This window comes from Homo sapiens, chromosome 5, assembly GCF_000001405.40.
Source record: "Homo sapiens chromosome 5, GRCh38.p14 Primary Assembly".
Lineage (NCBI taxonomy): Eukaryota > Metazoa > Chordata > Mammalia > Primates > Hominidae > Homo > Homo sapiens.
The window spans coordinates 151,802,705-151,813,287 of NC_000005.10; the positions used below are offsets into that span (position 1 = coordinate 151,802,705).

The 10,583-nt window shown below is 37.9% G+C and overlaps 1 protein-coding gene across 2 annotated transcripts in view; it reads left to right on the plus strand.

The window, feature by feature from the left end:
* The window catches only part of G3BP1 (G3BP stress granule assembly factor 1), a 40,832-nt gene extending 30,751 nt beyond the window's left edge, over positions 1-10,081 (plus strand). For both annotated transcript variants that reach the window (NM_005754.3, NM_198395.2), the window contains exon 12: positions 1,181-10,081. In NM_005754.3, the coding sequence (NP_005745.1) occupies positions 1,181-1,387 (207 nt within the window). In that variant the 3' untranslated portion in view covers positions 1,388-10,081. The remainder of the gene's footprint in view (positions 1-1,180) is intronic.
* Positions 10,082-10,583: the final 502 nt, after the last annotated feature.

Below are 10,583 nucleotides of genomic sequence, written 5' to 3' on the forward strand. Positions count from 1 at the left end.
GGGCGGATCACGAGGTCAGGAGATTGAGACCATCCTGGCTAACACGGTGAAACCCCGTCTCTACTAAAAATACAAAAAATTAGCTGGGTGTGGTGGCGGACGCCTGTAGTCCCAGCTACTCGGGAGACTGAGGCAGGAGAATGGCGTGAATCTGGGAGGCGGAGCTTGCAGTGAGCCGAGATCGCGCCACTGCACTCCAGCCTGGGCAGCAGAGCGAGACTCCATCTCAAAAAATAAATAAATAAATAAATTTGAATAGAACACTTCCGCGACACATAGTAAGTACTCTTAGATACTCATTTTAAGAAATTAGAAAATTACATTGCTGGTGAAGAGCATAAATTGAATATATTGAAATGTTTCGTAGCCCCTTAACTACTTTGGCTCTGTTAGGAGGAAACGAAGGCCAAGACTATCCAAAATTCTCAGGAGGTGTTAAAGAGCAAATTAAAGTTTATGTCAAATTAATGAAGTTTTTATTTTAAATGTATATGTACTTTGCATAAATATGTACAGTACCATCTTTTCACACTGGTGATGATGAGGTTTTATTCTAAGCCTCCAAATCTATGGAGAAGGTGGCAATTTTTTTTATTTTTTATTTTTTATTGGGACGGAGTCTCACTCTGTCGCCCATGCTGGAGTGCAGTGGCACGACCTTGGCTCACCACAACTTCCGCCACCCGGGTTCAAGTTGCACTCCAGTCTGGGTGACGAGTGAAACTCTGTCTCATTAAAAAAACAAACAAAAAACTGAACTGTGAGAACTTAGCTGATTTATAATCTGCTGGTTCTTTTTTTTTTCTGAGTCGGAGTCTCGCTCTTTTTCCCAGACTGGAGTACAATGGCGTGATCTTGGCTCACTGCAACCTCCGCCTCCTGGGTTCAAGCAATTCTCCTGCCTCAGCCTCCTTGAATAGCTGGAACTACAGGCGTGTGTCACCATGTCTGGCTAATTTTTGTGTTTTTTTAGTAGAGACGGGGTTTCACCATGTTGGTCAGGCTGGTCTTGAACTCCTGACCTCGTAATCCACCCGTCTCGGCCTCCCAAAGTGCTGGGATTACAGGCATGAGTCACCGTGCCCAGCCTCTGCTGGTTCATTATTACAGCTTTCTTTATCTTTGATAGTGATAGCCAGCTCATCAGTACTCTTAAGTCTGGTCACCTTGATTCTTACAGCCCATCATGTTCAGAGGTGAGGTCCGTCTGAATGTCGAAGAGAAGAAGACTCGAGCTGCCAGGGAAGGCGACCGACGAGATAATCGCCTTCGGGGACCTGGAGGCCCTCGAGGTGGGCTGGGTGGTGGAATGAGAGGCCCTCCCCGTGGAGGCATGGTGCAGAAACCAGGATTTGGAGTGGGAAGGGGGCTTGCGCCACGGCAGTGAATCTTCATGGATCTTCATGCAGCCATACAAACCCTGGTTCCAACAGAATGGTGAATTTTCGACAGCCTTTGGTATCTTGGAGTATGACCCCAGTCTGTTATAAACTGCTTAAGTTTGTATAATTTTACTTTTTTTGTGTGTTAATGGTGTGTGCTCCCTCTCCCTCTCTTCCCTTTCCTGACCTTTAGTCTTTCACTTCCAATTTTGTGGAATGATATTTTAGGAATAACGGACTTTTAAAGAAGCAAAAAAAAAGACTGAATTTCCTTGCTTACTTTGCATATACAGACTGGATTTTTTTTTTTTTTTTACAGCCATTTCCCCAAAGGAATGTCTTGCATATTACTGACATTTGGTATGTTTCATTCATTGGAATATTTCTTATTTTCTACGTGTTTGAAAAGCCTGTAAGAAATACAGGATTTGATAATATTTTGAAGGCAGGAAAAACCCAAATTGTTTCTTCTTTGAGAGTCATGACTACCTTCTGGTGTGGAGAAATTGCCATTGGAAAATTTGACAATTTTGATTCTCACTGGTATGTTTAAAAACTGAATAAAAGGAATAGAATTTTTTTTTGATAAAGGATCACAAAACAATTCTAAAACCTAACTGTTTTTACCATTGAAATTTAAATTGTGATAATAGGTTTTAAATGTCTAGAATGCAACTGATAGGCTTTTCTTGAACTGTTAGTTTTTTTGAAGTAGTTTTTTCATGTTTAATTTGTATTTGTAAAAAAACAAAAAGCAAAAAAATTCCCAAAACCCAGATAACAACCAGAGCAAAACTGTTGTGCCTTCTATTTATCTTTGATTTCAGTCTTGGCAATTGTTTAAAAAAAAAATCTAGATTTGTTTTATTAGGTTCAGAGTATGTGGGGAATTATAGAATCCCTCTTTCATCACTTTGTGTATGTCTTTTGTTAACATATTTGTTATGCCTTATTCTAAAATTGAGTCTCAAACTGGAATGCCTTTGAAGACAGATGCTTCTATAGAGGTTCTTTGACCTAAATAGTTCAGCATTTGTATTTTTATTCTGGTATCTAATCAGATTCCTAATCATAGCCCGTAAGAAGGAATGTTACTTTAATATTGGACTTTGCTCATGTGCTCGTGTCCGCATTTTTTTTTTTCTTAAAATCATAGCCATATGGTAAATTTTCTATTTTGTTATGGTTCTCTTTTATTGATGGGCATGCAGTGGGTGTTACTTGGAAATGGCCAATTTTTATTAAAATATTTCTGGAAGAAAATTTAATCTGGCAATATAGACTAATACTCGTTTCACATATGTGTTATTTGTTGAGTGCTGTGTGTGAGATGGGTGAAGGTTTTGTTTACACGTGTGAAACAAACTTTTGTGTGATTGTCATTACTAATTGAAGGGCAACCAGGTTGTAAAATTCAGCGTATTTATTTTCTTAACAGTATTCATCTTTAGGACTGTCGTTTGAGGATAGCATAGGAATATTTGGTTTGCATTACTGAGAAACTCTAGGTTTGCTGTGATGGTTAAGACCACAGTGAAGTTGGTATTACCAGTTTGGTTCCAGTTCCTCAAATATTTGAAAATTGGCAGCATCTCCTTTACATAAACTTAATGTAACTGAATCACATGGCTTTTTTGTAGGGTTAAAGTAACTTTGGTAACCACTTTTGGCCCAGATCACTGATAATAGGAAGAAATACAACTTATACTTTTGTAGCTTATATTAAGCATGTGGTGGGTGGAAAGAAAAGTTTAGTCTGAGTCACTTTGGAAAAAAAAATTACTTTGTGGTAACTTCAAGGTCATAAATTATGGATAGCCTAGAAATTATCCTTCATGAGTGAATACTAAATTATACATTTCAAAACAGAAGTTCTTCCTACTTGGAGACTTAAGGGCATTAACTAGATGCAGCAATCCTCAGCTTGGTGTTATCACATACTAGAGGACATTTGGAAATGTGTGAAATTTGGAAGGGTTGTTGGAGAGACATGCATCTGGCATTTATTGGGTGGGGTCTAAGGATACCAAATGTTGTGTAAAAATGAAGCAACCCCATTGAGAACACTGATAGTCCCTATTCCTGTGGGTGGGTGGAGCTGTGGGATTAGGAAAACTGGAATGAAGACTCATTCTTTTGAAACTCAGCCTCAGATAAATAACAAACTAGGAAATGGAAATCTGTTTCAAGAATTGCAGTAACATCTACTCTAAGGAATTAGTAATTTCACTTTTTATTATTTGTACCAAATGTATGTGTGTGTTGTGTATGTTGGTGTAAATGTGGAGAGGTGGTAGCAATACATACTGATGCTGCTTGTAATTTGTTGCAGGGAATTACTGCACAATCTCAGAAAATAGAAAGCTTCCCCAGTGCTTTCTGTCATCAGAGTTGGGATGATTGTGAGGTTTTGAATGATAGTATTGGACCTAAGAAATAGGATTAGCATCATGATCAGAACTGTTGAGAATCCTTGTACAATTATGTACATTATTGCATGTAGAGTAAACCTGAGAGCTTAGAGATGTATACGTTTCCACTGCTGGAAAATCATTATAAGTTAGGGCAACATTTTCTATAGGTGGCAGCAGTAGGAGCTCATCACATTGAACATTTTCAGATTTTAAAATGAAAATTTTCATCCGTAGGAATGGCCCAATGTATAGTTATTAGCTACTGAGCTTAGAACTCTTGACCCATGAGATTTTTTTTTTAAATTTTTATTTTTATAGAGGCAAGGTCTTGCTATGTTGTCAGGCTGGTCTCAAGCTCCTGGCCTCATCAGTTCTCCTGCCTTCCAAGTAGCCGGAACTACAGGTGTGCACCATTGCACCTGGCCTCATGAGTATTTTAGTTAGATAAGATTTGTTTGGTTCAGTGGGTCTTAGTTTTTTAAGACCTGTTAATTTGTAATTAGACATCTTGGGCCTTAAACTGTATTTTTGTTTTAGTGGTGAGGTTGGGTTTTACTTTGTGTATTCCAGCGTTCTCAACTTTGTCAGATATTGCTAGGGACCAGTGAGATAGATAATCCAAAAATAATAATTTGACTTTGGTTGAGTATGTCATTACCACAGTGTTAGTTGAATTGCACTTTAGGTTAGAAAAGTTAATTTTCACATCTGTGCTGCGGGTTAGGTGATATTGTCCTCAGCACAATAGATGAGGAAGAAACTGAATCAGAACAGTTAAATGACAGGCTTCCAAGTCATCCATGTAGCAAGGAGCACATTTGCCTCCCAAACTGATGCTTTTTCTCTAGAACCATAATGCCCCCCTAATTACATTTCAGTAGCATAGACCGCAATGAACTTCCTACTGTAGGGAGACTTGAGTCTGGAATACATTCAGAACAAGGTTAACATTACAGTTCTTAATTTCCTTTAGGGCAAACAAGATAATTAAACTTGGGTTTTGTGAGTCTTTTTTTGATTTGCAGATTATATATGGTAACACAATAATGGTGGTTTGTTTTTAAGTTTTTTCTCATCAGGTTTGATAATTTAATGCAAACTTCAAATCTGGATGTGAATAATAATATTTTTATTATAGTATAATCCAGGTGAGTTTATAGAATTTGTGTTTTGTGCTTATAAACTGTCACCTTCTGATACTTTTCTTCATCCCTCTATTTGAAAAACCCTTGTAGAATTTAACGATTTAATGGAAAATGTTGCACTTTATAGAAGGCCATTTTAGAACTTACAGGTAACCTTTTTGAAGAGCTTAGATTTGTAGACCACTGTTTATGCTGAGTGACATTTCTTTTAAATGGTTGCATTTGTCAAATCTATAAAGATGTTTTTTATATTGCAGTTTTCTTTTTGTGCTACTTAAAGGAATCTTTGCAATGCTGCATATAGATAATTGTTGACCTTTTTAGTTCAGCAGTTTTTAAACTTGAAGTAACATCAGCATTTATTTGAATATCAGGTTTTAGCTAACTGCCTAATGTACCAAAAAAAAATTAGCAATGTCTTATGTGGGATGAGGGGTTAAGTTAAAGTTGCTGATCAAGTAATGGCCGTGTGGCACAAGATGATAACTAAGAATTTCTGGTTCTAAGGTAGTAATGCCTTTTGGGATTTATATTTGTTTAATGTTGAGATTCTGGGGACCATAGGTGGGCCTGTCAACTCTTAACAGACTATAGTAAAGGAGAGATGGTGGCACATGTGAGATAAAACTTGTTTATATTTACATTCTTATTAGTGGATAGATATCACCTCAGTACAACACTGAAATTAAACTGCCTTGTTCATGCTTTCATGTCTCAAATCAAGGCCTAAATGAGTAAAAAGATGATTACAGATTACCTAAAACCCTTAACCAGTTTTGGTTTTTGATTATGCATATGTGTTGGCTTGCAATTAGGTTTTTAGTTTCTGTTTATGTGACTTGTTTGAAAACATTGGATTCGTCTTCTCTCCACAGTTTCTACTTGAACCTAGTAGCTTATTTTAATTCCCTGTAAGAGGAAAATAATATAGGGAATCTGTTCAACTATTCCTTTAATAAATCATGTGACTTGGCCAATTACAGAAATTCCTAAGTGTAGTATTTTGAAATGTGGCCAGTGTCCCAGATTTGTAAGGTACAGTGTGCATACAGTGTGTCTTAGGATTTTTTTAAGTAAATTAAGGATGTTTACCAGAAATTATTGATTTACTGAACCAAGTATTTATTTTCAGAAGCCCACTTTTGGGGAAGGTTGCCTATATTTTTGATAGTAATTAGATGGAAGATTAAATCCTGTTTAACCTGGATAGAAACAGTTTTAACTATTGCTGAAGTTAAAATCACTTTGGGGTGGGGTGGGGTGGCTCATGCCTGTAATCCCAGTGCTGTGGGAGGCTGAGGCCAGAGGATTGCTCGAGGCCAGGAATTTGAGACCAGCTTGGGCAACATAGCAAGACCCTGTCTCTACAGATAATTGAAAAGTGAGCCAGATGTGGTGGCGCATTCCTATAGTCTCCGTCTCTCAGGAGGCTGAGGCAGGAGATTGCTTGAGCCCAGGAGTTGGAGGCTGCAGTGAGTTATGATCATACCACTGCACTCTAACCTGGGTGACAGAGTGAGACCCTGTCTCTAAAAAACAAAAAATTAGAAAACAACAAAAACCACTTCGGTTACTCACTGTCCTCATGCTTTGATGTCAGTTGTTCTCCTAAATTTTAAAATTTTGTTATGAAGATTGGATGTACACTGATTTGGCCCTTTAAATGACATTATACCAAGAAGTTGGTATAAGGGAGTAGGAGATGAGAAAACTTTTTGAAAAATCATTTGGTGCATGCTAAGGTAGCTTGTAGGACATGTGGTTTTAAAAAATTCATGGATTTTGAAGAAGGATAGGGTGGAAGTAAAATTTAGCTGATAGCATAGGGATCATTTGTGATTTATATAGAAAATAATTATATTTTTGAGTGAGAAGCATCAGACTTAAATTTTTTTCTTCTATTTTGGTTATTACCAAAAGGAACAGAGAAACTCTCAGAATTCTTTGAATCATAGAATGTTAGTGCTGGAAAGGACTAGGAAGTGACTTGTACAACCCCTTCATTTTACAAAGGATCAGAGAGAATTGGTTAGTAGAGTCCCAAATCTGCTTTTAGAAGTAATATGGTGATCATCAGTTTAGATTCACTGTAGGAAGGGCAGCCCTGTTAAAGTTTGTCAGGAGAAAAAGGGAAGGTATCACTTTTTGTATGTTCACCCAGTTGCTTCTGTAGTTTTCATACCCCTGTTTTCTCAATTTTCTTAGAACTGTCTTTAATGGCCCAGCTCTACCAGGGCTTGTTGTCTAAGGACATTAACTTGTGCTCCCCTCAGGGATGGGTTTACTACTAGCTGTCAGAAAGCTATTGGGTATCCTAATGTGTTAATAGCTGAAACTCAGCTGTAATTTCTCCTAAATACTTCAGCATTTTGCATTCTGTACATTGTGGTGCTTTTTCCACCTTGTATTGTTGTAACTGTAAGCTCCTAGGGGGCAGCAATTTGGTCTTAGGCGTGTACCCTGTTTAGTGCCTGGCAATGCCATGTTTATATCAAGGTCTTAATATTACTTTTGAGTTATTTCTCCCACTCTTCATGGAAGTGATGCTCCAGCCTTGCTAAAACACTGAGGGTCCTCCCGATAAGCCAGGCATTGTGATTCCTTGGCTTCAAGTGCCTTCTGTCTTCCCCGAAGGTCCACTGAGATCTACAATCCCCCCTTTCCTCTGATCTCTTGCCATGTAAGTAATTTTTTAAAAGATCAGTACAAGAGCTATATTTTTTCCTAAGAAAAAATTTCAACAGGAATGGGGAGTAGCCCCGTTTTGGGGCTGATCTGTCCAGAATTTGGAGTGAGGAACAAATCCATTCTCATCTACTTTCCACATTTTCCCTCTTGTTTGAGGTCCTGTTCCAACCTTCATTTCTGAAACTGTTCTAGAGCACTTTGTCTTTCTCGTAGTTCATAACTTACCCCTTCAGTCTAGAATTAGAATTACATTATCTGTTTTACTACTTTACTAGACTGTAAGCTCCTAGAAGATAAGGACTAGGGAGTTCATCTCTGTATTCCACCAGAAGGTACAGTGACTCATAACTAGAGTCTTTAGATGAAACTTACTGAGTTGAATAACTTAATATATTTCTGTTTTCATTCCCAAGGGAGGCCATGTCTGGAGATAGACCTTGAATTTAATAAATTTTAGGCACTATACCATTTCAGTGGAGAAAATTGTTGGGAAATTTGGGGGGATGGATATATAAGGGGGAGGAAGTCACTGGCCAGTTTGAGGTGCTTCCATTGGTCTGGGTAACTAGCCATTTCTTCCTGATTGTGCCTAGTATATCCCAGACAGTTTGTTTCTATGCAGAAGAATTTTATATGAAATTTTCATTTCTTTGCAAAAACTTGTTCCTTCTTTCAGTTCATGACATCATCCATGCTAAAGTCTGAGTCATCTGCTTCCATTTTTGTTATTCCCCACATCCAGTCTTCAGCTAAGTCCTGTCAGTTCTACCTCAAGTCTTTCCCGTCTTTCTTCCTCACCTATGTAATTTCAGTAGTCTCTCAGCTTCACTTAACCTCTTACTCCAGCCTACTTTATACACAATGTTAGATTCATCTTACTGAAACATAGTTCTGACCATGTATTCCATGTATGTGTTCTCTCTCCCCTATTAGACTGTAAGCTCCTTATGGGCAGGATCTGTGTCTGAGTCATCTTTGTATCTTGCCTAGCACCTATCAATAAATACTTCTTGAATGAACAAATGAATTCTCATTTCTCGACATAAAGCCTTGTCTAAAGTGAGATGTTTTCCAGGTCATACATAGGTTTCTCCCTGGGGTAATTGGAAGTTCTTGCATATAAAGTTGGTTAAATAGTAATAATTATGAGTTAACCACAGAAAATTTCAGAAAACTTTAATTTTTTTCCATTGGAATCAGCATGGATATGTGTATATGGATGGTTCAATAAATATACTTTTATATACATGTTTCACAGAAATTTTACATTCCATCTTCAAACTGCAGAAATAGATTTTTTTTTTTTACAAGCCAAAAAATAACTGCCATAACTTTTGTGACTTCATGCAAAAAAAGGGGGGAAGAGTAAGGGGCAAAAGGGAATTAGTTGTTCAAGGTTGAGTGTCCAGTAAGAAGTAAAAATGTTACATTAAGGAAGCGATTGCTTAACACGCTGCTTAAGGTGGTAGCCAGACAAATCCTTAACTGCAGCATTAAGGCCATACCAAGTTTATACATATATACAAAGAAATTTCCATATAAAAGACATACTATCACATTTTCTTCTTCATAAGGATGAGGAACTTTGTAATTCTGACCTGATTTTCCAGGCCAATTAATTAAAATGTCCCCAGGCTGCTTTTTAGAAGTATCTTCTACTTTGGCTAGCTGTCAGAGTTGCCGCTATGTGAGCTTGTGACTTCTGGTCTGGCGTGAAAGTATGAATCATCTTGAACCTCTTCCATCATAGCACTATGTTGCTGAGCTAATTCATGCTGCCCAGCTAAGCACATTTTCTACATCCCCAAAGTATTTGGAATCACAGCATTGTAACTTGTGATTGTCTTACCTGTAACAGACTCCACAGTCATGCTGGCATTGTGACCTGAAGAATTACACAGTGCCCTTCTTAGATTCTTTGGGGTTAAGGTAACTTCTTGAATAATGTACTAATGAACGATAGTGTTTCAGGAAACATGCCCTAGCTATTGGAAGTTCGTATCTAACTTTTACCCCTTGTGTGTCATGATACATTTAAGTTGGTAGCTACATTTTTGGAATAAAGGAAATGTAAAATTATTTGCAGAATAATAACCTGGGATTTGCTCTTCTGCCTAAACATCGAACTAGGGAACTTTAAAGACAAAGGGTGCATCTTTTGTGCAAGTATCTAAGCGGGCAAAATGGGGAAAACATGAAGGGCAAGTCCTTTGGGGATGACTTCTAATTAATGCAGAAGTCATTTGCTTTGGCCAGGTTGGGTGGGACTCTGAGATTGCACACTCTTGCCCTGTTGGCAGAAACTAGCCCATCTTAAGTTAGTCAATGAATCCTGAGTCAAAATGAAAGGTTGCTAAATCTAAGATCGAGTGTATAAATAAAATAACCCCTTCCTCCAGTGACTGTGCATTTATTTTGTAATAAACTCATTTTGGAATGTTTTAGCAATGAATTGGTATCTCTCTGTTGTCCTGTTCATCGCCAGTTTTCAAGTATGGCTCCAGTGTGTTCACAGCTATGGCTGCAAGGTAATTTGGTCTCTTTCTATAGCTTCCCTAGGCCAGTCAAGTTTGAGAATAAGGTCTCCGTAAGTGGCCTGTCCTGGGAGAGAGGACCAAGTGATTTGTGATTTGGAAGCACTGTGGTATGTTTGAACACTTGCCAAGTTAACAGTCACTGAGTATTCTAATCATGCACCAGCCACTCTTCACCCTAAATGTACTACAAGTTATTCATTGCAGTAACTTGCATCAATTCTAGATAAGGTGATTTTTATTCAACAGGTCTACTGTGATGCTGATCTAGACAATGAGAGTGGAATAGCCTTTGGCAGTCTTGGAATATCAAGAGGGCTTAAAAGTATTAGGTTTTTGTTTTGGTCATTTTGTGTTTCACTTTGTCCATTTCAAGTCCAAAGCAGTTGAAGACATGTTTTATCCAGTTTGTCAGATGTA